This window comes from Homo sapiens, chromosome 18 (genome assembly GCF_000001405.40).
Source record: "Homo sapiens chromosome 18, GRCh38.p14 Primary Assembly".
Classification (NCBI taxonomy): Eukaryota; Metazoa; Chordata; class Mammalia; order Primates; family Hominidae; genus Homo; species Homo sapiens.
This window is the reverse complement of record NC_000018.10, coordinates 12,681,230-12,708,760: the sequence shown is the minus strand read 5'-3', so window position 1 is coordinate 12,708,760 and position 27,531 is coordinate 12,681,230. Positions and strand designations below refer to the sequence as shown.

Here is a 27,531-nt window from a genome sequence, read left to right as displayed (position 1 = left end):
GCACTCCAGCCTGGGCAACAAGAACAAAACTCTGTCTCAAAAAAAAAAAAAAAAAAAAAAGAACGTTGTAAAGATTAAATGAATTACATGTAAACGCCGCTGGGCGCAGCGGCTTGTGCCTGTAATCCCAGCACTTTAGGAGGCCAAGACAGGCAGATCACCTGATTTTGGGAGTTCAAGACCAGCCTGACCAACATGGAGAAACTCCGTCTCTACTAAAAATACAAAACTAGCTGGGTGTGGTGGCACATGCCTGTAATCCCAGCTACTCGGGAGGCTGAGGCAGGAGAACTGCCTGAAACTGGAAGGCGGAGGCTGCGGTGAGCTGAGATCGCGCCACTGCACTCCAGCCCGGGCAACAAGAGCAAAACTCCATCTCATTAAAAAAAAAAAAGTACATGGCATTTAGCTCATAGTAATACTCAATAAAAGATAGCTGTTATCACTAGTGGAAAGTATACAAATTCTAGGGGCTTTTGTTTTTTAAGACAGGGTCTCACTTTGTCACCCGGGCTGGAGTGCAGTGGCATCATCATGGTTCACTGTAGCCACAACCTCCCAGGCTCAAACAGTCCTCCCAAGTTAGTTAGCCTCCTAAGAGGTTGGGACTACAGGTTGGCTAATTTTTTTCTTTTTCTTTTTGTAAAGATGGGGTCTCATTTTGTTGCCCAGGCTGGTCTCAAACTCCTGAGCTCAAGCGTTCCTCCTACCTCAGCCTCTCAAAGTGTTGGGATTACAGATGTGCACCAACGCACCCGGTCATGAATTCTGGTTTTAACCATTTATAGTCCTTTATCCTCTGAGGCAGTAACTCAAATTTAGTCTTGCGTTGACAAAGCCATCTGTCCTGTAGGAAGTTCAATAATAAGGTCATTTCTCAAATGTACATTTCACTATCGCAAGCTAAAAACAATGATATGGTTAGTAAGACACAAAAACCAAAATGCTTCTTCATTTGTCTTTCAATTCACCAAAGGCCTTTCATGCTCTTCTGTCACCTCTGGATTTGACCTTAAAATGGTAAACAGAAGACTGAAAGATCACCAGAACAGTTAGCCATCAAAGGTAGTAACTGGGTGCTCCCATGCTTCATGATCAACAGGAGCTCTTCTCTTACTCACCTGGTGCTGTGCTGCATTATAACCAGTGTTCCCTGATTAATCAAGCCTGATAGTCCAATGAGGAATTACAAAGATTTACAGTATGGGAAAAGCCTACACCTATTAGTGGCATCAGGCAAGTCAATCTCTTTGAGCCTTATCTATACCATATTATTATGGATCCTATAATGGAAGAAGATGACTACGAGGATAAGACTTAGTTGACGTAACATATATTAAACCTACAAGACTGAGTCCAGCGCAATCTACTTTTCGCCTTTCCATATTATTAGTGATGGTTACACATACCAGTAAGAACAGGAGATAAAACTGAGGATAGAAGGAAAAAAATCCATGTTGAAAAACAAGGAAATTTAAAAATTCTAGAAAAGATACAAGTATGGGCTGGGCACGGTGGCTCACACCTGTAATCCCAGCACTTTGGAAGGCTGAGGCGGTTGGATCACGAAGTCAGAATATTGAGACCATCCTGGCTAACACAGTGAAACCCCCGTCTCTACTAAAAAAATACAAAAAATTAGCCAGGTGCGGTGGCAGGCACCTGTAGTCCCAGCTACTCGGGAGGCTGAGGTAGGAGAATGGCGTGAACCCGGGAGGCGGAGCTTGCAGTGAGCGGAGATCGCGTCACTGCACTCCAGCCTGGGCAAGAGAGCGAGACTCCGTCTCAAAAATAATAAAAAAAAAAAAGATACAAGTATGATCTTATTCTCAACCTTCGTAAGACTTGCCATTTACAAGAGGCTAACAACAACTAAAACCAGGACATAAAAGAATAGGACAATGTGATTGGGTTGTGAACTCTACACAAAGTTGGCACTAAGTAAACATTTGCTACAAAACAATTATCAATAAAGTCTATTTCTAATTTAAAACAACTCTACTTTGTAGTGGAAAAATACAAGGTAAAGTCTTACATACCTTCAGCATTTATGCTAAGTTCTGTTGAATTTCCTTCTGTGGTCGCATATGGATTGTTTCCAACCATTGGCACAAGACAATCGGTATAGAAGTAACCAATCTTAGACATATTCAGTGTAGAAATAATCAGATCCATTGCAAGCTGGCCAACATTTCCAACAGATACTGCTGGCTGAAATTATAAAAGATATGTTCAGTAAGTCACCAAAATTAGCAGCACTTTATTTTATTTTTTGAAACAGAGTCTGCCTCTGTCTCCCAGGCTGGAGTACAGTGGCGTGATCTTGGCTCACTGCAGCCTCTGCCTCCTGGCTTGAAGCAATTCTCCTGCCTCAGCCTCCTGAGTAGCTGAGATTATAGGCGCGCACCACCACACCCAGCTAATTTTTGTATTTTTAGTAGAGACGGAGTTTCACCATGTTGGCCAGGCTGGTCTCAAACTCCTGACCTCAGGTGATCCACCGACCTCAGGTGATCCACCCGCCTCAGCCTCCCAAAGTGCTGGGATTACAGGCGTGAGCCAACACGCCTGGCCCACAGCACTTCAAAAAGTTTAGACAGAATACAATAGTTATATTAGTACTGAAAGCATCATAACATCATAGCTAGATATTGATTTTCATTAACTACAACTGCTGGGGCCTCCTCCACCTTTGAGACTATTTAACAAATACTTATTGAATGCCTACTATATGTCAATTGTTGCTCTAGGCACTGGGAATGCAGTAAAATAAACCAACAAAAGTTCATGCCCTCATGGAACTTCCATTCCAGTGAGAGTGGTTTACCTGTAATAAACAAAACAAACACTAAAATATACAGTGGTAATTGCTACGGAGAAAAATAAAGTGAGTGTGAGGATGTGTGTACATGGTTGATTGCAATTTTAAGTAGAGTGTTCGAGGAAAGACTCACCCTAGGTGACAAATGACTAGAGACCTGAAAAAGGTAAAGGAGACAGCCGTACAGAGATCTGGGAAAGAACATTCCAGGCAGTGGGAAAGCAAGTGTAAAGGCTTCGAGGTATGAACAGAAGCACTCTTGGGTCTGCTTACCATTTGCTTTATTAGTGCCTCTTTACCCATTCCGAAAGGTTGAAGTGATCTTTTCACACTAAACACACACACACACACACACACACACACTCTCTCTCTCTCTCTCTCTCTCTCTCTCTCTTTTTCCCATGACTTAAAATAATGAAGCTGCCAAATCCCTACCTACATCCCAGAACACGTAGGAGCTCCACAACCTAATGGACGTCTCCACATGGTTAGGTCACAGGAAACTCACATTCCACATGTCCAAAACTATAAACTTTTGCCCAAATTTTTCCCCATATTTTGTATTTTAGAAAAGGGCGCCGGGCATGGTGTCTCATGCCTGTAATCCCAGCACTTTGGGAGGCCGAGGCAGGTGGATCACCTGAGGTTAGGAGTTTGAGACCAGCCTGGCCTACATGGTGAAACCCTGTCTCTACCAAAAATACAAAATTAGCTGGGCGTGGTGGTGCATGCCTATAATCCCAGCTACTCGGGAGGCAGAGGCAGGAGAATCACTTGAACCCAGGAGGCAGAGGTTGCAGTGAGCCAAGATCGTGCCATTGCACTCCAGACTGGGCAAAAAAGAGCAAAACTCCATCTCAAAAAAAAAAAAAAGTTCAATATTATTCAATCTACCTAAACTTCTTCCCATTCCCTTACCAACTACATCTAATACATGCCTAATTTTTATTGAGGCTATCCCCCAAGTATCCTTTTAATGTAGCTCCTCCTTTGCATTCTTCCAACAACTCCTTTTGTTTTCTGTCCTTCGGGTGTTCCCTCAGCATGTTCTCCCACTTTTCACTGTTGTCACCTACCAATTGCCTAGTTACCTCCTGCAATTCCCTTCTCAACGATTTTGCTACTTGGGTTAAACTCTTCTGTACCATCCTTCTTTTCCTCACAATATTGTATTATTCCCATCAGCACGTAAACATGCTCTAATATCTTTCATTCTAAAAGGCTCTCCCTTGACCCCACATAGCCCTCTAACTGCAACCTCATTTCTTGTTTCTCTATGTAGCAAAAATTCTCCAAGTCGTCCACGAAAACATAAGCAGAAACTTTATCTCTTATTAAAAAAAAGTTTTTTGAGACAGGGTCTCACTCTGTCGCCCAGGCTGGAGTGCAGTGGCACGATTTCAGCTCACTGCAGCCTCTGCTTCCTGGGCTCAAGTGATCCTCCCACCTCAGCTTCCCGAGTAGCTGAGATACAGGTGCAGGAAACCACACCTGGCTAATTTTTATTTATTTTTTTGTAGAGATGAGGTATCACTATGTCGCCCAGGCTGGTCTTGAACTCCTGAGCTCAAGCGATCCTCCTGTACTCGGCCTTCTAAAGTGCTGGGATTACAGGCATGAGCCATCATGCCTGTCTCTGAATTAATGACTGAATATATATTATACAACCCAAATCTTTAACTTGTTTTCTATCATTCATTCAACCCACTCCAATATGGCTTTCCTCTTCACCACTTCACTGGTAACTGTTTGTCCAGGTGACCATCATTAACATGTCGCTAAATCCAAACATACACTTTCTTCACCTTACACATCTCTGGGCTACTTTTGACATGGCCACTCCCTCCTTTTTGAAACACTCTTCTCTGGGGCTGTGTGTTTTATATGTAATGAATAAGGATGACACTTCCAGCTCTCTCCAGCCTTATACCACTCCAAACAGTGCATTTTCCAATGGTGCCTTCTGGGTTCACAGGGCCTACAGCCTATTCTCTCTCAATGTGTCATTCCAAATTCTTGGCAGTCTTCAAGTCCCCCTGCTTACTGACTCTGTTTTAGACATCCATCTTTCTGAAACGCCTACTTTCCCCTACTCCCAGCCCACGGGCCCTCCATCTTTTGCATACTACTTTCTCTATAAAGCCTTTCTTAACAAGCCATCTGTCCCTCCCCTCCCAATTATCTCAGGACCTTTCTATACCCTTTCAAGCTTCTAGCCTAGCATTTATTGCTCTTAGATTACATGTTTCCAACTACAGTGTAAATTCTTTGAGGGCACGCACCTAGTCTTATTCTAATACTCGCACATAACAGACTTTATTAAAACAATGAATGAATATAAAGAGCGATAAAACTGCGCTAACTACCGGCAAGAGTTAATGTTTATTGCCCTATCAGTAGTTCTCCGGTTAACAACGATAATATGCTAGCTTAAGACTAATTCTAAAACTAGTCGTAGAAAGACTTTCTAGGATAAAACTGAAGGATGCCCTGCAAAACATAAGTACAGTGTATCTAGAACGTACGAACACATCACGTTTTACAGGAAACAGAGACTACAAATTGTAGACTTGACTACGTTTGGTTTTACAGCCGACAAAGGTTCTGTTTGGACGGCTGCCTCCGGCTACAACCTCCCTGTTTTTTCCGGCCGAAAACATGAAATAGAAACTAGTGCCCTATTTCTCCCAAGGCACCGCCAAACACCCCGCGTCGGGGTGGCGACACCGCAGGGGCCTCGGGAGGCGGCAGCCCCGAGCGCAAATGGAGACTCACCATTAGGAGGGTGAAGCCGGCAAGGTCGGGGGCCGACTCCCCGCAGGGAACGAACATGGTCGCAGTGGGGTGGCCAGCAGGGACTAACCGCGGCCCTGGCAAGAACGAGGGCAGCAAGAAGGCGGAAGCCCGAGACCCCGGAGCCTCGCGGGGCGCGGGAGGGTCCTTTGAGTCCCTGGGCGCCGGGCCCTTGAGGCCCGTCCAGCTAACTGCCGGTTCAGAGGGCGGAAAGAGGCCGCCGGGTGGCCGCGAAGAGGGGCCAGCAGCGCTTTCGGAGACCCTGGCAAGCAAGGCGATGGGGTGCGCTGAGGTCTCGGGGTGCGGGGCCCGCGGGGAGGTGGAGCGGCGGGCGGAAACGATCAGGCAGCGTGCGGGCCAGCCCCAAGCCCTGTTTGTCCGCCACTGTTTGAAAACAGTTGGCGCCGCCGCCGCCGGGGCCTCATTTCCAGGTCAGCCCCCGGCCTGACGCGGCGTTGCGTCCCCCGGGAGCTGCGCTAGGCGAACGGCTGCGGCGCTTTGTGCTCCAGTCGCTCCTAACGCTCCCTGGCCCGGCCGGGGCCGCGCAGTTAGGGCATCTGAGGCGGGGAGAAGCGGCGGGGAGACGCCGGCTGCCAGCATGTCGCTGCCTCCGGAGAAAGCCTCCGAGCTGAAGCAGCTCATCCACCAGCAGCTGAGCAAGGTGAGAGTCGCGGGTGCTGGGAGAGACCGCCGGGCCGACCCATAACCTTTCCCTCCTGCCCGGCGGCCCCGGGCCGACAGCGGCATCTGCTTGCCGGGACTGTAGCGAGGATTGTGGGGTGCGCAACGCAGAGTAGGCAGAGCTTTGAGTTTGAGGCAGGAGAGCGTCCTCGTCTCCGAGAAAGAAAACGAGCCGAGCAGGTGCTAGCAAGAGTCTGGGGCGATAGAACGAGCGGTCTTGGCGTTTTAGGACGGCCGTGAGAATGAAGCGCTTAGCGAGCGACTTCTGGAAGTCGGATCGAGTGTAAGTTGTATTTGGAGGTTTATATTCTGCTGTAAGATATCAGGTTTTTTTTCTTTCTTGAGACGGAGTCTCTCTGTTGCCCAGGCTGGAGTGCAGTGGCACGATCTCGGCTCACTGCAACCTCCGCCTCCCAGGTTTAAGCGATTCTCCGCCTCAGCCTCCCGAGTAGCTGGGATTACAGGCGCGCGCCACCACGCTCGGCTAATTTTTGTATTTTTAGTAGAGACGGTTTCACCATGTTGGTGTGGCTGGTCCCGAACTCCTGACTTCGTGATCCGGCCGCCTCGGCCTCCTAAAGTGCTGGGATTACAGGCGTGAGCCTCCGCGCCCGGCAGATATCAGGGTTTCTTTACCGCTGAAACATGTGGGTATCAGCGAAGTTGAACCAGGAGCTTCAATCAGCAATTCTCAAATAAGTCATGGAAGAGAAGTTACTAAAGGGTTTGTAATGACGGAATTTGTTAATATTTCGGAGCTCCAGAAGAACCTCCAGTTTCTGCAGCGCTCGCTCGACTGAGTGCAAGATGCTGAAGTGATAAAAGCGACCATTTATGGTGCCCTTGTGTGCCAGGCTTTGTGCTGTCTAGTATCTTTAATCCTCACAACACTATCGTGAGAGGGCACTACACTAGGTTTTTCCATTCTTATCGGTGACGAAACAGATTTATAAAGGGTAAATAAGTTGGCTTGAGGTTACACATCTACTAAGTTGAAAGCTGGTAAGATTCCCTTATCATTAGGCAGATCAAAGTATGAAAGTAATAAGATCATACTTTGATCTGCCTACTCCCAGTCCGTGTTCTTCTGATTATACTATACTCCCTCTCAGAAGATTCCTTTTGGTTGAGTGTTGTTTGTGGAGAAATGGTAACAAAGGTGCCAGATAACCAGTGGAGACTATTTCTAGAATTTGTACTCAAAAGATTCATTCTTTAAAAGCTTACCTTTGTTCCCATTCAATTGTGGTAACAATTGTGCATTTACTGTTAGCTGGAGAACCTTAAAACTTCAGAAGCAGTATTTGACTGCTTTGTGATGTTATAAATTGTAATATGAGTTTTCTACATAGATGGATGTCCATGGTAGAATAAGAGAAATCCTTGCTGAGACTATACGGGAAGAATTGGCACCTGATCAACAGCATTTATCAACAGAAGATTTGATCAAAGCCCTTAGACGTCGAGGAATCATTGACGATGTGATGAAAGAACTTAATTTTGTTACTGTGAGTAATCTTTTAGGGAAATAAATGAGAGTATATATGTATATACTAATGCGTAACACTACTTATAAGGTTCCGATGTGGGGCCTTTCGTTTTAGTAAAACCACTTCAAGGTCATTCTGTTTACTAGTGTCCTTGTTTCAAGTATAGGCTAGCTCTGCCCTTGAATATACTGAATAGTTTTGTGTATCAATGAAATTTGTGTTAGATATCTTATTCCTGTCTCTACAGTGACAGAATTTTCTCTTATTTTCTAGGTCTGTAAATTTGAATATACATACTTTAGTCCAATTAGTTCACCATAACAAAGTTCTTTTTCATTATGATCTGTAACTTTTTTAGATTAAGCGTATTTTTAAAATAAGCACTCTTTTGGGATTATATTCTCTATGATTAACAAATTACAAATTTCTTTAAGAAAATAATTGACTGCATAAGAGTCCTCAAATCTTTTAATACAAATAGGTCAATAATGGGATGATAGTCTCTCAGTGCACAATTAGTAAGTAGGCCTTCATTTGAAAGTGAGGCAATAATGGAAACTGTGACCTCAATACCTGGGTAATATAATGTGAAAATTGGATGGACTTCATAATACAATAGGGAATAAGTATTTTAATACAGCACCTTTTTTTGGTTTTTGAAGTTTATGAACCCGTTTGTTATAAAAATTGACCTAATAACAGCTTCTACTCTGTGATGACACTTTATTAAAATCAGCTCATAGTGGAATTATAAGCCAACTGTTACATAAGGTTTACAGAAAGTTTAACCTTGTTGAAGGTATTAAGGATTTGTTTTTAGCTTTATGTGGATAGTATTACTTGAAGACAGTTTAATTCCTTAGCATTTGATTTTAGGAGTGATCAGTTTACATCATCTTTTATGCAGGCTTTTATTTTCATTATTTTAATTAGGCTAGGAAAATAAGGGGTTCTTTGAAAGGGCCTTACCCTGTTGACTTTAGGTTCAGTGCTTAGTCATGTTTATTGACATTTCCTTAACCTATAATTGTTTTCTAATTTGTTTTGATTTTTTTTTCCTGCCTTTCTAGGACAGTGTTGAGCAAGAACTCCCTTCCTCTCCAAAACAACCTATTTGTTTTGATAGACAATCGACATTAAAAAAAAGTATGTATATTTTAACATTAATTTAGTTGTGGTTAATAGTAAATATTGATGTGGTGTAGTCTTTCGTATTTGATAGAAGACATTTCCATTTTTTCCCCCCAAAATAAAATACTTAAAATTTTATGGTTGGCTAAAACAGATTGTTTTGCATGAAGTATATCAGAAGAGTTAATGTATAGCACGGTAGAAGCAAAAACAGCATCACCAGTTTCTTGTGTTTTAATAATATGTTTTATAAAAACTGTACAGCCTTGCTTTTAAATATTAATATAATTGACAAATACACTTGCTGAATTGATAATTATATGAGTTGGTTTGTGAAGGTGGAGGAATGTTGGATAAGCAGTTAAAAAGCAAAAGTATACTACATATTGGCTCTGATGCCTTTTCCAGCTGGGAGAAAGTAGCCTGGATGTAAACTCAGAAAAGAATATCATATTTTGTGTATCTTCTCCCCAGAGTGCAAATGATTCTGGCATATACAGTAATAAATTTGTTACTCTTTTGCTTTTTTTTTAGTCTTTGGTATTGGGTTTTTATCTGTCAAGTTTTTATTTCCTAATGTCTTGATCACATTCTTTTAAGTTATTTGGCAGTTTCCTCATATATATTGCTACACTTTACAGCTAATATTGATCCAACACGGAGGTATCTTTACCTTCAGGTTTTGGGTGGAAAAGCTTTCTTGGAACATCTGCAAGAACCTGAGCCTTTACCTGGACAAGTTTGTTCAACGTTTACTTTATGTTTACATTATCGAAACCAACGTTTTCGTTCTAAACCTGTTCCATGTGCCTGTGAACCAGATTTTCATGATGGCTTTTTACTTGAAGTACACAGAGAAAGCTTGGGTAAGAAACAGTAATAAATTGTCATTTAATTGAGTAAATCTTTGTTATGTTTTATTGTGAAACAATAATAATGACTTTTTCTGTAAGGAGAGATTTATAATGGAGGAATCTCTATTTTGTTTCCCACTGCTCTTTTCAATTTAAACTACTATCCACCTTCTTGCAATATTCTGTTTGCTATTCATTTTCCCTGGATATTATTTTTTGACTGTTTTCATTGTTGATTCTTTAGTAATACACACTTAAATACCTATTATGTGCATAGTGTTATGCTAGGCAGGTGCTGGGATGATATAGTGGAAAATGAGACATGGTCCTTCTCATTTATAAAATATAACCAGATTGATGATGTTATGTAACTTTTAAAAGTCGAAGTTTAGGCTGAGCACGGTGACTCACAGCTGAAATCCCAACACTTTGGGAGGTCTAGGTGAGAGAATCATTTGAAGCCAGGAGTTCAAGACAAGTCTGGGCAAAGTGAGACATTGTCTCTACAAAAAATAAAAAATAGGCTGGGTGTGGTGGCTCATGCCTGTAATCCCAGCACTTTGGGAGGCCAAGGCAGGTGGGTCACCTGAGGTCAGGAGTTTGAGACCAGCCTAGCCAACATGTCGAAACCCTGTCTCTACTAGAAATACAAAATTTCTAGCCGGGCATGGTGGCAGGCGCGTGTAATGAGCCGAGATCACCCCATTGCACTCCAGCCTGGGCAACAGAGTGAGACTCTGTTTAAATAAATAAATAAATGAATAAATATTTATAAATTATTTATAAAAACTTCTAATAAATTTTTATAAATACTTACAAATAAATATAAATAAAATAAAAAGTCAAATTTAGATGTGAACATATAACTGTCATTTTAATTTTTTCTTTTTTTTCTTATTTCTCCAATAAAGCATGTAATTCTCATAACTAAATTTTATGCTACTTGATTCCTGTAATTGTTTTACACTATGTTTCTTTCAGTAAAGGTATTTTGTATTTTGTAATTGTCAGTATGGAAATCTTTATATTTGTAAACTAAGCAAAGTTTCAGAATGTCTTCACAATTTTAGATTTAAAGATGACTGAAACATTACTAAAATTTATTTTTTTCCCTTTGAAAGATGTTACCTTAATAAGGCAATTAATAGGATAAATTGCTAGATTCGATGTGCTGTATTTTTCAGTTGTATGTCAATTATACAGTGATAATTTCTGGAGGTTAAAGGGATTTCTTGAGGTAGTTTGGGGATTAATATTGACATACTTGAAGGCTTTTTATTGTAGTAGCATATACTTTAGTTAAGTACTTTTAAAGAACAGACTTATCTTATGAATCAGAAAGCACTGATATGCTGTAAGTTACTGGATAACTCATCACAATTTGCCAGTCTTCTGAAAAGTTAGTGATAGAAATAGGACTGTACTTGTATTTCCAGTTTTTTGCATGCTTTCTGAGACATTAGCAAATTGTTCTCTTTGGTTTTATATAAGCTTATTATTTACTGTTTAATAAAAGTATTCTTTTATGTTGGCCTAACTGAATATGTAGTGTGGTATAATTTCGTTTGGATTATATTGCTAGGTGATGGAACTAGAATGGCTGATTCAACAACAATGTTATCAATAAGTGATCCAATTCATATGGTGCTAATCAAAACAGACATATTTGGTGAGACGACTTTAGTAGCATCATATTTTCTGGAATGGCGATCGGTTTTGGGCTCAGAAAATGGAGTGACCAGTCTGACTGTGGAACTTATGGGTGTAGGTATGGTGATTAATATATCATTGTTAACCTTTTTATAGCCACAGTTCATTTGTAAATATATTTTATATCTTTAAAATGCTTTTATAATCCAAGAGGGAAACCTGTAAAATAGAATTTCGTTAGAGTTACAATTGGACCTCAGCATCCTAATCTTGAGAAATGTCTTGAAGAATAATATCAGTATAGCACTTCATGGTCAATCTGACCTTGTCTTAGGAGAAATGTTTTTTTCTGGAAAATGAATACAGGAATTTTGAGGGTTTTAATTTCAAGTTCATTTGATTAAATATAAGGCTATAAAGAAAATTAATATTCTTGACACACATACAAACTTATGTGTGTCCAGTCATCACACCCTGGAATACATCCCCTTTGGTACCAGTGATTCTTGCAAAATACAGAGTAGATGTTCTCCCAACCTTTTACAGTGTGGGTGAGTGAGACTCGGAAGAGGAAATAATTTGCTCAGTGTTAGTATCAACTAGTCCTTGAGGGCAGAGCTGGTGCCTATCTTATTTATCATAGTCTCCTTGGAATCTTGCACACTGCCCGCTATGTAACACATACTTGCTAATAAAATGAGAAAACAAAACCTACCAATGTTTTATCTATAACATATAATGGAATTACTTTGGTTTTTAAACTTAGTCACAGAGTTAAACCTTGCCAGTGGACAGCATAGCCTTAGTAATTTAGATTATTATTATTATTATTATTATTTGAGATGGAGTCTCGCTCTGTCACCAGGCTGGAGTGCAGTGCTGCAATCTCGGCTCACTGCAACCCCCGCCTCCTGGGTTCAAGCGATTATACTGGCTCAGCCTGCTAAGTAGCTGGGACTACAGGCATGCACCACCACACCCAGCTAATTTTTGTATTTTTAGTAGAGATGGGGTTTCACCATGTTGGCCGGGATGGTCTCGATCTCTTGACCTCGTGATCTGCCCGCCTCGGCCTCCCAAAGTGCTGGGATATTGGCGTGAGTCACCGCGCCCAGCCAGTAATTTAGATTTTAATAAGTCATACCAAGAATGTATTTTTCTTTAAATAAAAATTATAGAAAAAGTGTCCTTTATGTAAGAAATTTATTTTCAAAAACAATACCCAATTTGTCTTCAAAAATAGGCCTAACATGATAATCGTAGCAGTGACCTGGAAACAAGCAGATTCTGATTCACTGAAGAAACATTAAATCGTTTTGATGTGAAGTATATTTGTTTTCTAGTTCTTTAAATCCAGGCATGGATTGAAAATTTCTACTCAGCCTGTAATTGGATAATGGGGAGTGACAAATGGGAGTTACTATAAGTGACAATATAAATGCTTTCTAATTTTTAGTGTGTGTGTGTGTGTGTGTGTGTGTGTGTGTGGAGAAGGAATGAGGTGTTAACAGTTGCTTTGACTTTGAATTTAATGTAAGTCTGGTTGATATTATACATTTAATTAAGACAAAAATTAAGAGTCTCAAATCCTTTAAGTCAGAAAAGTTTCTTAAAACCTGTTAGAAAAGCCAGGTGTAGTGGCTCATGCCTGTAATCCCACCAAGCACTTTGGAAGGCTGAGGCAGGAATATCACTTGAGCCCTGGAGTTTAAGACCAACCTGAATAACATAGGGAGACCCCATCTCTACTTAAAGAAGAAAAAGAGTGTCAGAAAGCTAAGAAAATAATCTCCTTATAATTAAACACCTTTGTTTAAAAAAATTGATTTGGTTCATTTTAATATGAATATTAAAGGTAATGTTGAATGTTATCTTTATTCCATGTAAGTGATAAAACACCCAAGTGCCTAAATTATTTTGGTTAGACTTTGGTTGACTAAATATATATAGTATTGAAATCTCTGAAGTTCAAAATATTTATGTTTATAGGCACAGAATCAAAAGTTTCTGTGGGAATTTTAAATATAAAACTTGAAATGTATCCACCACTCAATCAAACGTTATCTCAAGAAGTAGTGAACACACAGGTAAATACTTATGAGTTTCTCTTTTTTTGTGTGTTTGTTTTCATAGTAGTATATTTACCTGTTGATCCTAGAAAGCACTCTATTTTTAGAAAATTACCATTTATTACTTTCTAGATTAGCACTCAAAGGTTCACAAAAAGGATGAGGAAGAAAATAAAGACAAGATTGTTTTCCTAGCAGAATCTGTAGTCTAGTTTAGGAAATACGATGAACATTTATTGAGACAGCATAAGAATTACAGGATAGGCCGGTGGCTCACGCCTGTAGTCCCAGCACTTTGGGAGGCCGAGGCGGGCGGATCACAAGGTCAGGAGATCGTGACCATCCTGGCTAACACGGTGAAACCCCGCCTCTACTAAAAATACAAAAAAAAAAAATAGCCGGGCGTGGTGGCAGGCACCTGTAGTACCAGCTACCCGGGAGGCTGAGGCAGGAGAATGGCGTGAACCGGTAAGAGGAGCTTGCAGTGAGCCCAGATCGCACCAGTGCACTCCAGCCTGGGCAACAGAGCAAGACTCCATCTCAAAAAAAGAAAAAAAAAAAAAGAATTACAGGATAAAGCTGAAGAAGATCAAAGAGTAAAGTGCAACCTCAGTGGGATGGGATTTTAACGTTCTTTCGCAGGCGTTTATTGAAAGCTTGCTGCTTATGTCTTTTCTGCTCTGTTCTCTCAGGGTAGAAGTGCTTGCCACTTTTAGAGTGTGTTTGGAGAGGCTTTTTTCCCTAATTCCACTGTCAGGTCTCTGATGAATTACTTTCTTCCTGGGTCTTAAAAGATCGGCAGATTTTTTCATTCCTTCACATTGGATTTGCCATCCATGTTTAGTTCTTGCCAGTCTTTAGTTTGGAGGTTCTCATTATCTGCTGACTTGCCGGGATGGCACTTGTGGAATGGTTCTCCTTGATTACATACACCACCCTTTACTCCACCCTGCCTGTCATATTGTTCCTTTTACAGACCTGTGGTTAGACGCTAGTGCTTCTCCCTCAGGCAAACAATGTCCTGCCCTGTTTTCTTTAAACTTTTTTTCCTTCCTTTTGTAAACTCTCATCTCCCTCTAATCTCTAGCTTCTGACATGTGTCATGGGTGGTATATATACCTGAAACCACATAGTGAGAACCAACTTTGATGTTACTCAAATAAATACCCAGCCCTGTGGGAGGCTAAGGTGGGTGGATCACTTTTGAGTCCAGCAGTTTAGGACCAGCTTGGGCAACATAGTGAGACCCTGTCTCTACAAAAATTTTAAAAAATTAGTCAAGCATGGTGGTACATACTTGTAGTCCCAGCTGCTTGGGAAGCTGAAATGGGAGGATTGCTTGACCCAGGAATTTGAGGTTACAGTGAGCTGTGATTGTACCACTGCACACTAGCCTGGGTTACAGACTAAGACCCTGTCTCTTAAATAAATGGTGTATACACACATATACATTATGTGTATACGTGAGGGGTTTTTTTGTTTGTTTTTTTCAGACAGAGTCTCGCTCTGTCGCCAGGTTGGAGTGCAGTGGCGCAATCTTGGCTCACTGCAACGTCTGCCTGCCGAGTTCAAGCAATTCTCCTGCCTCAGTCTCCTGAGTAGCTGGGACTACAGGTGGGTGCCACCACGCCCAGCTAATTTTTGTATTTTTAATAGAGACAGGGTTTCACCATGTTGGCCAGGATGGTCTCGATCTCTTGACCTCGTGATCTGCCTGCCTCGGCCTCCCAAAGTGGTATACATGAGTTTTAATCATGTTATTCATATATTTATGTGACATATAAAGTAAATGTTTGGGCTCTACTTTTTTGGGGTAGTAGCTTGTTTTTTTTAATTAAATTTTATTTTTTTAGAGACAGCATCTCACTCTCTCAGGCTTGAGTGCAGTGGTGTGATTATAGCTCACTGAAACCTCAGACTCCCAGCCTCAAGCAATCCACCTGCCTCAGCCTCCCAAAACATTGGGATTGCAGACATGGACCATTGTGCCCCACCAGGTTCTCCTTTTTAAACTTAACATTATTTTATATGTATTTTCTTATATTTCCACTGTCATATTTATAATTTCTAGTGACTAAAACATAAGTTTATTCTATTATCTGATAAATAAATTGCTTCTAATTTTCTCTTTAAAATTGCACTATTAAAACTTTTAGCCAGGCTAATTAATCTGTAATCCCAGCACTTTGGGAGGCCAAGGTAAGAGGATCACTTCAGGCCAGGAGTTCAAGACCAGCCTGGGCAACATAGGTAGACTTCATCTCTACAAAAATTTTTAAAAATTAACTGCACATGGTGGTGCATTCCTGTAGTCCCAGCTACTGGGGAGGCTGAGGTGGGAGGATCGCTTAAGCCCAGGAATTCGAGGCTACAGTGAGCCATGATCATGCAGTAGCACTCCAGACTGGGTGACAGAGCAAGACCCTGTCTCTTAAAAGAAATTAAAGTCAGAAATATGTATGGATCCTAAATAGATGTCAAAATGTGCTAGACACTGTTCTAGACACTGGAGATGTAGCTGTGTATAGGGCAGCAGACAGCTAGACAGCTTGCTCTCAAGGAGTTTAGATTCTAGTGCAGGAGAAACAATAAGTCAGCAAACAAAATAATCAGATAGTAGAAGGTGTTTTATGGAGAATTATTACAGGTGATATGATACAGTGGTTATTGGGTGGCTAATTATAGGTCGAGTGACTAAGGTAGGGAAAGAGTCTGAACAACAGGAAGTAACCAGCCATGCAAAGATTGGGGCTGAGCTTCCAGCACTGGGAACAGCCTAGAACAAAAGCCCCTATGGAGGACCGAAAGCCCTGTGTGGCTAGAGCGTAGTGGGTTGGGGAGAGAGGAGAAAATGAGATAGTCGGGCCAGAGTTCATAGGCCAGGGCAGGTATTTTGCAATGTGATGGAGAATGAAGTGTTTTAACAAGAGAATGACAGTATGTTTTTTTTTTTTTTGAGATAGAGTCTCACTCTATCGCCCAGGGTGGAGCACGGTGGCATGAACTCGGCTCACTGCAACCTCTGCCTCCCGGGTTCAAGCAATTCTCCTGCCTCAGCCTCCCGAGTAGCTGGGATTACAGGCATGTACCACCATCCCCAGCTAGTTTTTGTATTTTTAGTTGAGATGGGGTTTCACCATGTTGGCCAGGCTGGTCTCGAACCCCTGACCTCAAATGATCCACCTGCCTTGGCCTCCCAAAATGTTGTGATTACAGGCGTGAGCCACCATGCCCGGCTTGTATGATTTACTATTTAAAAATTTCTGGGCCAGGCGCGGTAATCCCAGCACTTTGGGAGGCCAAGGCGGGCGGATCATGAGCTCAGGAGTTCAAGACTAGCTTGACCAATGTGGTGAAACCCTGTCTCTACTAAAAATACAAAAAAAAATTTAGCTGAGTGTGGTGGCACGTGCCTGTAGTCCCAGCTACTCAGGAGGCTGAGGCAGGAGAATTGCTTGAACATGGGAGGCAGAGGTTGCAGTGAGCTGAGATCTTGCCACTGCACTCCAGCCTGGGCGACAGAGCAAGACTGCATCCTCCACAACCAAAAAAAAAAAAAAAATTCTGTCTTTGAGGAAAAAAAGGTGACTTATGATTATTGTATGGAGATGGGATTGTACTAGGGGTAAGTGTAGAAATAGGGAAGTCAGGAGGCTCTTATAGAAGATGATGATGACTCAGATTAGGGTGGTAATGATGTAGAGAAGTAGATAAATTTGCTACATATTTTGTAGTAATTAAAGATAATGAATAGAAATTGAAAAATATTTTTTTCAATTTCAAGCTTGCTTTGGAACGTCAGAAAACTGCAGAGAAAGAGCGATTATTTCTTGTATATGCTAAGCAGTGGTGGAGAGAATATTTGCAAATTCGACCCTCACACAACTCACGACTGGTTAAGATTTTTGCACAGGTTTGTAAATTATATTAGAATAATTTTATGCCTGTATTTGAGATTTACTGTTATGTGTGTAAATTTCATTTAATATTTATTTGTAAAATGTATTCCAAAAAATAAAAGTGTATTTGTAAAATAAAATGCTGATTTTGTAATATTCTCTTTCACTGCATAGTGAGTGGCAAGATCAATCTATGTCTTATTTTACTTTCAATTTCAGTTATTGTGGGTTTTTGAAAAATCACCTTTCTCAGGTTGAATCAATTATTGTGTTTTAAACCCTTTCTGAATATATTTGATTTAAAGTAGATGAAAATCCATTTTGTTTAACTTGGAATGTGTATTTGCTTGATACTTAGTGCTAAATAATTAACCATTTGGACACTTTGCAGGTTATATGTAAATCCAGCTCTTGTGTGCAGAACGGGGGGGGGCTCTGGGCATATATATATTTTTTGTTAGGGTTTTAAAAAAAATTGTATATAACCACGACTTCTAAGCCAGTGACCAGTAATGTTTAACTGAAGCATTTCAACTATATATCTCTGCCTCCATTTTTCCTGAGTCCTAAACCCATTTTCTCTCTTTAACAGACCAATATAAAATATATGGTCAGGTCAGCTAGGCGCGGTGGCTCACGCCTGTAATCCCAGCACTTGGGGAGGCCGAGGTGGGTGGATCAAGAGGTCAGGAGATCGAGACCATCCTGGCTAACACGGTGAAACCCCGTTTCTACTAAAAACACAAAAAATTAGCCGGGCGTGATGGCGGGCTCCTATAGTCGCAGCTACTCGGGAGGCTGAGGCAGGAGAATGGCGTGAACCCGGGAGGCGGAGCTTGCAGTGAGCCGAGATCGCACCACTGCAGTCCGGCCTGGGCAACACAGCAAGACTCCGTCTCAAAAAAAAAAACAACAAAAAATGTGGTCAGGTTCACGTATTTTTTGTAACTCCTAAGGAACAGTTCAAATATTTTGTATATATTCAGCCTCATACAGATGCTTTCATATAAGTATAGTGTAGTATATTATTTTAAGTTAAGTTTCTCAAATCCTGTACATTCATCCAGCTTTACCCTACTTTCCCTAGATTTTGGAACAGGCTAAAAGTGGTTTAGTGTCCAGATGGGGAGCTTGGGAATGAGAGGTTGACTAGAGGTGGGAATAAGGGAAATGGCTTCTGACTTTCTGATAGCGTTGTTTATATATTGAATGACTGGTTGGCAAGGTAACAACATTATCAGGACAAAGGCAAGGAGAAACCAATCAAAATGTAACTGGCTTCCTGGCCGGGCGCGGTGGCTCACGCCTGTAATCCCAGCACTTGGGGAGGCCGAGGCAGGTGGATCCTCTGAGGTCAGGGGTTTGAGACCAGCCTGGCCAACATGGCGAAACCTTGTCTCTACTAAAAATACAAAAATTAGCCAGGCTTGGTGGCAGGCACCTATAATCCCAGTTAGTCAGGAGGCTGAGGCAGGAGAATTGCTTAACCCGGGAGGCGGAGGTTGCAGTGAGCGAAGATCACGCCATTGCACTCCAGCCTGGGCAACAGAGTGAGACTCTGTCTCAAAACAATAACAACGACAAAAAATATACATATATATATATATAAACTGGCTCCCTGCTGTCTATATAGTCTGAGGCATTTATTCATTGCCACGTGGAATTAGGAACTAGAGAGGACTCAGGATGGAGTGAGGCAGTGAATCAGAGAAATGGCAGGATCAAAGAGGAGGAAGAAGTTGAAATGCACTAAGGAAGTCAAGGAAGTGGGATTTTCTTTTAGGAAATATTACTTAAACGACTTCCTCTCTCAGAATTCATTTTAAGATTTGAACCATAGAACGTAATTTAGTCTCATAGTAACCATATAAGATTGTCAAGTGGCCAGGCATTGGCTCTTTTTGTAAACAGTATGAAGGTTAGAGAAGTGAACAGTCTTTTCAAGGCCAAACAGCAACTCAGTCATGGCAAAGTCTGTGTCAAATTGGAGTTTCAACTGGTGCCTTTTTGGTTTATGCCACCTCTTTCCATATACATAGAGTAAATAAAATGCTGATTTAATTTAGATTCCTCAGAACTGTTTCTTGCTGCTTCCTGTATTTGACTAGTTCTGAAATTAAACAACAACAGTGTAAAACAGTCAATCTAATTATAAAAACAATAGTTATAAATCAAAACGTTAATATACATATCCAGGCCAAAAAAATTTCTAATGTATCCAGCACTGAAAGTAAAGTAAAGAACTTTTTTTTGTTGTTGTTGTGAGACAGAGTCTCAGTCACCCAGGGTTGAGTGCAGTGGTGCGATCTTGGCTCACTGCAACCTCCACCTCCCAGATTCAAGTGATTCTCCTGCCTCAGCCTCCCAAGTAGCTGGGACTACAGGCACGTGCCACCATGCCTGGCTAATTTTTTGTGTTTTTAGTAGAGATGGGGTTTCACTGTGTTAGCCAGGATGGTCTCGATCTCCTGACCTCATGACCCGCCCGCCTCGGCCTCCCAAAGTGCTGGGATCATAGGCGTGAGCCACCACACCTGGCCAAGAACTTTTTGCAATGATGGAAATGTTCTGTATCTGTGCTAACCAGTATGGTAGCCACCAGCCATGTACTGAGCATTCAAAATGTGGCTATTATGACTAAAAATAATTGAATTTTAAATTTTAATTAAAATTTAAATAGCTCATAATGGTTAGTGATTTTCTCACTGGACAGTGCCCATTCAGAGGTTGAAATATTAACTTTTCAAAACAGTTAAGTAGCTTGTGGGGATATATTTAGATAATATTAGAATATTGCTGTAATAAAATGATATATCTTACATTCTAAGATGCTACTATTGATGATTGACTTAGGCAAATGCTTCCACTTCTTATGTGCTCATCTTTTCTTGCCTGTTAGTGGATTTGTAAGAATAGGAGTAACAGTCCTGCACCTCAATACTAACCAAAGATCTGTAGATTTGCCGTGGCCATTATACTTAAAAATTCATTATTCTTTTTACCCTTTGTTAGCTGGTTTTGCTATAGTATAGTAGTAATTCATTGAATGATGCTTTTTGAACTTTTTAGTGCAAGAAACTTTAAAATAAGTTACAGAAATTGAACTTTAAGGCCACTAGGTTTTGTTTTTTTTTTTTTTTTTTTGAGATGGAGTCTCGCTCTCGCCCAGGCTGGAGTGCAGTGGCACGATCTCGGCTCACTGCAAGCTCCGCCTCCCAGATTCATGCCATTCTCCTGCCTCAGCCTCCTAAGTTGCTGGGACCACATGCCTGGCTAATTTTTTTTGTATTTTTAGTGGAGATGGGGTTTCACCATGTTAGCCAGGATGGAATTGATCTCCTGACCTCGTGATCCACCCACCTTGGCCTCCCAAAGTGCTGGGATTACAGGCGTGAGCCACCGTGCCCAGCCTAAGGCCATTAGGTTTTAAGAAAATGTTGTAAATCACTTGAGGATTGAGGATATTCTTTTAATATTTAGTTTGTGATTTCAGGACTTAGTATTCTTATACCACACTAGATTATTAGTAATGCTAAGTTCATGTAAAAGAAAACCATAGTTCTCTACATCCCCCCAAAATTAGAATAATAATCCTCTGTTTTAAAAATCGGTGCCCTCTAGGCCAGGCACAGTGGCTCACACCTGTAATACCAGCACTTTGGGAGGTCGAGGTGGGCGGATCACTTGAGGTCAGGAGTTTGAGACCAAGCCTGGTCAACATCGTGAAACCCCATCTCTACAAAAATACAAAAATTAGCCAGGTGTGGTGGCACATACCTGTAATCCCAGCTACTCAGGAGGCCGAGGCACAAGAATCGCTTGAACCCATGGGCGGAGGTTGCAGCGAGCCGAAATCACACTACTGCACTCCAGCCTGGACAACAGCGAGACTCTGTCTCAAAAAAAAAAAAAAAAAAATTGATGCCTTCTATAGTTGAGAACTATAGGTATGAGTGGAATCTATAGCCAAGTTGCTCTGCAACATAAAAATTAATGATCTTTCTCATTATAATCAAATGTAAATAAGTGAGTTTTTTTTTCCTTGCTAAAGTATGGGACTATATTGGAAAAAGATGTTCTGGTTGTGGAGAAAGACATCAGTGGTTCTGATAATTCAAACAGATGGTGTTTCTTTTGGCTGGGTTAGATCTCATGTCCTGAGGAACCCTATCAGGGAGGGTAGGTCATCTCCAAATCTTGAATAGTAAGTGGCCCTTTCACAGTGCCGTATCAGTAACCATGAAGGTAAAGAGATTGTGGACTTTGGTAATACTCACTGTAAAATCACAGTGGTAGACAGTCATCAGAGACCTATATATGCATACAAGTTATTCAGCACCAACACCAGGAGATATCCTGTATTTAGGATGTAAAACTTTTTCTAGAGTGTTTTTTGAAATTTTGCTTTCAATTGACTTGGTTAACAAATTATTGTTTCCTGTGGATCTCTAAATTTGAGGCCCTAATGGAAACAAACTAGAATCAAGCTACAATCATTTCTGTTATATCAGCCAATCAGAAGAGTTATTTGTTCTGTCTGGCTATATGTTGTTAAATTCTATATGGTAATGTGAAAAAATACTTCAGCTTAGAGCACCTCTCCCTCCCCTACATACCTACCCACACATTTCTCAGAGGAGTTCTTATTGCCACAGCCTTTGGAGTAAAACAGCTCAGAGCTTGAACCTGGCTCTGTTGCATAATAGCTGTAGCTCCTCAGTTTTCATCTATAAAATGAAAATAACGGAGATGAGGATTAAGGGAAATTATATACACAGCACTTTGCAGCCAAATACTGGATACAAGGTAAGCACTCGATCAATGGTATGCTGAATTATTTTATCCTACATTAATGTATTTGAAAAAAACATAATTGGGGATGATTAATATGTCATTACAGATGTTTTTCCCCTTTTCCCTAGGATGAAAATGGGATAAATAGACCAGTCTGTTCCTATGTTAAACCACTTCGAGCTGGACGGCTTCTTGATACTCCAAGGCAAGCAGCAAGATTTGTTAATGTCCTTGGTTATGAACGAGCCCCTGTTATTGGAGGAGGAGGTAAACAGGAGCAGTGGTGCACTCTGCTGGCCTTTCTCTGTAGAAACAAGGTATTATACACACATAATAGAATTAAGTAGCAGTATATCATAGTTACTCTGAATTTGTAATCCATTTGTAAAAGAATGCCTTAGAAAAATGCACATATAGTCAACCCTCTGTACCCACAGGTTCTGTATCTGTAGATTCAACCAACTGCAGATCAAAAATACTTACAAAAGTAAAAAATTACAATAATAAAAAATAGTACAAATTAAAAAATGGTGTGTAACAACGTTTATGTAGCATTTACATTGTATTGAGATTTTTAAACAATTTAGAGGTGATTTAAAGTATATAGGAGGATGTGCTTAGGTTATATATAAAATACTATACCATTTTGGCTGGCCGCAGTGGCTCATGCCTGTATCCCAGCATTTTGGGAGGCTGAGGCAGGTGGATCACCTGAGGTCAGGAGTTCAAGACCAGTCTGGGCAACATGGTGAAACCCTATCTCTACTAAAATACAAAAAATTATCTGGGCATGGTGTCGTGTGCCTGTAATCCCAGCTACTCAGGAGGCTGAGGCAGGAGAATCACTTGGACCCTGGAGGCGGAGGTTGCAGTGAGCTGAGATCGCACCATTGCACTCTAGCCTGAGGACAGAGCAAGACACGTCTCAAAAAAAAAAAAAATACTATTTTATATAAGCCTTGAGTATCCACGGATTTTGTTTTGCAAGGGTCCTGGAACTAACCGCTTTGGGGTGCTATCAGCTTGACCACGTCAGAACCTTGTTCTGTTTTTCATAACATTTAAATATCAATACACAAAAAACTCAGCATCTTTATTTTCTCATGTAGTTTCTTATTTATTGTGATTTCTGTGATGTAGGGACCTACAAGTACTAAAATGTCAGAAATCAAGTTGCAGAATGAATTAGGAACAGCACCAGGACCAGACCATGGCTTTCTGGTACTACTGATGTGTTGCAATTTGCTCAGATAATACATCTTTAAAAAAGAGAAAATAAGGCTGGGCGTGGTGGCTCATGCCTGTAATCCCAGCACTTTGGGAGGCAGAGGTGGGTGGATCACCTGAGGTCAGGAGTTCAAGACCAGTCTGACCAACGTGGAGAAACTCCGTCTCCACTAAAAGTACAAAATTAGCGTGGTGTGGTGGCACGTGCCTGTAATCTTAGCTACTGAGGAGGCTGAGGCAGGAGAATTGCTTGAACCTGGGAGGCGGAGGTTGTGGTGAGCTGAGATCGCGCCATTGCACTCCAGCCTGGGCAACGAGCGAAACTCCATAAAAAAAAAAGAGAAAATGGCAGTACAAAATTAATATAGAAAAAATATTAAAATAGAAAAAAATCTTGAATTGCATGCTATTTAGTTTGTTTAGTTTGTATTTAAATACAAATGTATATTTAATTACACTTTTTGAATGACTTGATTTTAGTAAACTAATTTTATAGATTATGGGATATTTCCTAATCTGTGTTCTAAAAATGTTGATAGTATGATAACAAACAAGTAAAACTATCTTTAGGCCAGGCGCGGTGGCTCACGCCTGTAATCCCAGCACTTTGGGAGGCCGGGGAGGGTGGATCACCTGTGGTCGGGAGTTCTAGAACAGCCTGGCTAACATGGAGAAACTCCATCTCTACTGAAAAAATACAAAAATTAGCCAGCCATGGTGGCGGGCTCCTGTAATCCCAGCTACTTGGGAGGCTGAGGCAGGAGAATCACTTGAACCTGGGAGGTGGAGGTTGCAGTGAGCCGAGATCACGCCATCGCACTCCAGTGTGGGCAATAAGAGCAAAACTCCATCTCAAAAAAAAAAAACAAAAAACTATCTTTAGCCTGGGTGACAGAGCGAGACTCTGTCTCAAAAAAAATAAATAAAGGTGACAGCAGGCCAGGCATGGTGGCTCATGCCCGCAATTCCAGCACTTGGGTAGGCCAAGGTGGGCAAATCACTTGAGCCCAGAAGTTCCAGACAAACCTGGGCAACATGGCAAAATCCCTCTCTCTAAAAAACTATAAAAATTACCCAGGCATGGGCCAGGTGTGGTGGCTCACGCCTGCAATCCCAGCACTTTGGGAGGCTGAGGCGGGCGGATCACACGGTCAGGAGATCGAGATCATCCTTGCTGATACGGTGAAACCCCATCTCTACTAAAAACACAAAAAAAGGAGAATCACTTGAACCCATGAGGTGGAGGTTGCAGTGAGCTGAGATCGCGCCACTGCACTCCAAACTGGACGACAGAGCAAGACTCTGTCTCAAAAAAAAATACATATATATATGATATCATATATATGATATATATCATATATATATTTAGATTTTTTACTGTACAAACAACAGCATTACAACAGTAATGGTGAAACTTTACCTATAATTCTATTCCTAGTTTATTATTTCTTTTTATATTTTTTCTGCTGTATATGTATCATTTATTTCATAATTATAATTGTAAATAAATTTTTGTATCTTGCTTTATAATTAAGCATTATGCTATGAACATTTTTCTATGTGTTGCTACAGTCTTTCTGATTTCCTTTTTTTTTTAAATGAGACAGAGTTTTCCTCTTGTCGCCCAGGCTGGAGTGCAATGGCATGATCTCGGCCCACTGCAACCTCCGTCTCCTGGGTTCAAGCGATTCTCCTGCCTCAGCCTCCCTAGTAGCTGGGATTACAGGTGCCCGCCACCACCCCCAGCTCATTTTTGTATTTTTAGTAGAGATGGGGTTTCACTGTGTTGGCTAGGCTGGTCTCGAACTCCTGACGTTAGGTGATCTGCCCGCCTCTGCCTCCTAAAGTGCTGATTTCCGTTTTTTAATGAGTGTTTTAAGTTTCCTTGAGTCAATATACAAAATACATTTAACTATTTCCCTATTGTAGGAACTGCCAAGTTAGGCTCTTTTTTTTTTATTCAGTGGTTTTGTTGTTGTTGTTTTCTTTTGTTTTTGTTTAGGACGGGGTCTCGCTCTGTCGCCCAGGCTGGAGTGCAGTGTCACGATCTCGACTCACTGCAACCTCCGCCTCCCAGCCTCAAGCAATTCTCCTACCTCAGCCTCCTGAGTAGCTGGGACTACAGGCATGGAGCCACCATGCCTGGCTTTTTTTTTTTTTTTTTTGGTATTTTTAGTAGAGATGGGGTTTCTTGGCCAGGGTGGTCTCAAACTCCTGGCCTCAAGTGATCTGCCCGCTTCAGCCTCCCAAAGTGCTGAGATTACAGGCAAAAGCTGGCACACCTGGCCATAAAGTTAAGCTCATTTTAAATTTTTTAATGTTGCCATGAATGAACTTTCACACTGACTATCTTTGCAGATATTTTTATTTTACTTCTGAATTTTCTTTAGGACAAAATCTCAGAAATAATTGGGTCTAAAAGGTTGATTAAGCCAGGCGCAGTGGCTCATGCCTGTAATCGCAGCACTTTGGGAGGCCGAGGTGGGTGGATCACTTGAGGTCAGGAGTTCAAGACCAACCTGGCCAACATGATGAAACTCTCTCTCTACTAAAAATACAAAAATTAGCTGGGTGTGGTGGTGCACGCCTGTAGTCCTAGCTACTCAGGAGGCTGAGAATCATTGGAACCCGGGAGGAGGAGGTTGTAGTGAGCCGAGGTCATGCCACTGCATTCCAGCCTGGGTGACAGAGCGAGACTCTGTCTCAAAAAAGAAAAAAGTAAATTAAAAAATAAAAGATTGGTTATTACATTTTTGTAAAGCCACTTGAAGAACTATAAAATGCTATTTGTTTTCTTACAGTTAATTTTTTTTAAAAAACTTTAGCACCACCAAATCCAATTTTTTGGAGAAAGAAATTTCTTGGCCAGGTAAGGTGGCTCATGCCTGTAGTCCCAGCACTTTGGGAGGCTGAGGCAAGCGGATTGCTTGAGTCCAGGAATTCGAGACCAGCCAGGGCAACTTGGTGAAACCTTGTCTCTACAAAAACACAAAAAATAGCTGGGCCTGGTGATGAGTGCCTGTGGTCCCAGCTATTCAGGAGGCTGAGGCGGGGGAATCACTTGAGCTGGGGACATCAAGGCTGCAGTGAGCTGAGGACGTCAAGGCAGCATTGAGCTGAGATCATGCCACTGCACTCCAGCCTGGGTGTCAGAACTAGACCCTATCTCAAAAGAGAGGAAAAAAAAAAGAAATTTCTTCATTCGGACACTCAACTCAAATAGTTATTTTTGCTTTCGCGTGTAGTCTTCCTACACTTAAATACGAAATTGTAACCATAGTGTTTAATATCTTGGTAATTTTTTTCACAGAACACAGTATCAGATATTTTCTTTTCTTTTTTTCTTTTTTTTTTTAGAGACAGAGTCTCACTCTGTTGTCCAGGCTGGAGTGCAGTGGCACGATCTCAGCTCACTGCAATCTCTGCCTCCCAGGTTCAAGCGATTCTCCTGCCTCAGCCTCCTGAGTAGCTGGGATTACAGGCACACACCACCATACCCAGCTAATATTTTCTATTTTTTTATAGGTCTTTATAACTTTTTAAAATTGAAAGTAATATAACCAAAGAAAATCTGGAAAAAGAGTGGAAAATTATATATAACCTCCCCAGTAATAACCATTGTTGGCATTTTGTTGTTGTTCTTGCCAGTCATTTTTCTTATGTATGTATTTTCTTGAAATTATCACATATAGATACTATCAGTCATTGGTTGAGTGTTTTCCATTTATTTGCATTTCTTGCTGTATGACTTGTTTGCTTGTTTGTTCATGTACTTCAGCTATTAATCTATTAAAATATTCCAGGCTGGGCACAGGAGCTCATGCCTGTAATCCCAACACTTTGGGAGGCTGAGGCAGGAGGATCACTTGAGCCCAGGAGTTCAAGAGCAGCCTGGGTAACACAGTAAGACCCCTGTTTATACAAAAAAAATTTTAAAATTAGCTAGGTGTCATGGTGCACACCTTTAGTCCCAGCTACTTGGGAGGCTGAGATGGGGAAATCACTTAAGCCCAGGAGGTCAAGGCTGCTATGAATCATGTCACCAGCCTGGGTGACAGAGGAAGACCCTGTCTCAAAAAAAAAAAAAAAAAAAAATGTTCTACTTTTCTTTCTGTGTTGTGT

General features: G+C 41.2%; 2 protein-coding genes across 10 annotated transcripts in view, besides 3 other annotated features; one reads left to right on the top strand and one right to left on the bottom strand.

Annotated features, from left to right (window-relative positions):
* Positions 1-27,531, bottom strand: part of PSMG2 (proteasome assembly chaperone 2) — a 67,003-nt gene that overhangs the window by 16,980 nt on the left and 22,492 nt on the right. The window contains exons 1-2 of one of the 2 annotated variants that reach the window (NM_020232.5): positions 5,597-5,719; positions 2,040-2,211 (exon numbers count right to left, since the gene is read on the bottom strand). In NM_020232.5, coding sequence (NP_064617.2) covers positions 2,040-2,211; positions 5,597-5,653 — 229 coding nt within the window. In that variant the 5' untranslated portion in view covers positions 5,654-5,719. Of the gene's footprint in view, positions 1-2,039; positions 2,212-5,596; positions 5,720-27,531 lie in introns of those variants that run through there. The other variant, NM_147163.2, reaches the window with a different exon arrangement.
* Positions 5,984-27,531, top strand: part of CEP76 (centrosomal protein 76) — a 40,822-nt gene continuing 19,274 nt past the window's right edge. For 3 of the 8 annotated variants that reach the window (XM_005258149.6, XM_017025981.2, NM_024899.4), the window contains exons 1-8: positions 6,038-6,275; positions 7,648-7,803; positions 8,856-8,931; positions 9,558-9,782; positions 11,353-11,538; positions 13,410-13,507; positions 17,274-17,402; positions 22,311-22,499. In XM_005258149.6, coding sequence (XP_005258206.1) covers positions 6,213-6,275; positions 7,648-7,803; positions 8,856-8,931; positions 9,558-9,782; positions 11,353-11,538; positions 13,410-13,507; positions 17,274-17,402; positions 22,311-22,499 — 1,122 coding nt within the window. In that variant the 5' untranslated portion in view covers positions 6,038-6,212. Of the gene's footprint in view, positions 6,579-7,647; positions 7,804-8,855; positions 8,932-9,557; positions 9,783-11,352; positions 11,539-13,409; positions 13,508-17,273; positions 17,403-22,310; positions 22,500-27,531 lie in introns of all 8 variants that reach the window. The other 5 variants (XM_047437808.1, XM_017025983.3, NR_073537.1 and 2 more) reach the window with 4 other exon arrangements.
* Positions 5,996-6,893: an enhancer, noted in NCBI's record as "H3K27ac hESC enhancer chr18:12701867-12702764 (GRCh37/hg19 assembly coordinates)". NCBI's record gives its function as "activates a minimal SCP1, AML or CMV promoter by ChIP-STARR-seq in naive H9 embryonic stem cells {active_cell/tissue: H9 hESC(naive)}" and the evidence as "EXISTENCE:reporter gene assay evidence [ECO:0000049][PMID:30033119]".
* Positions 6,351-6,400: an enhancer, noted in NCBI's record as "active region_13104". NCBI's record gives its function as "activates an Ori minimal core promoter by ATAC-STARR-seq in GM12878 lymphoblastoid cells {active_cell/tissue: GM12878}" and the evidence as "EXISTENCE:reporter gene assay evidence [ECO:0000049][PMID:35858748]".
* Positions 6,411-6,710: an enhancer, noted in NCBI's record as "active region_13103". NCBI's record gives its function as "activates an Ori minimal core promoter by ATAC-STARR-seq in GM12878 lymphoblastoid cells {active_cell/tissue: GM12878}" and the evidence as "EXISTENCE:reporter gene assay evidence [ECO:0000049][PMID:35858748]".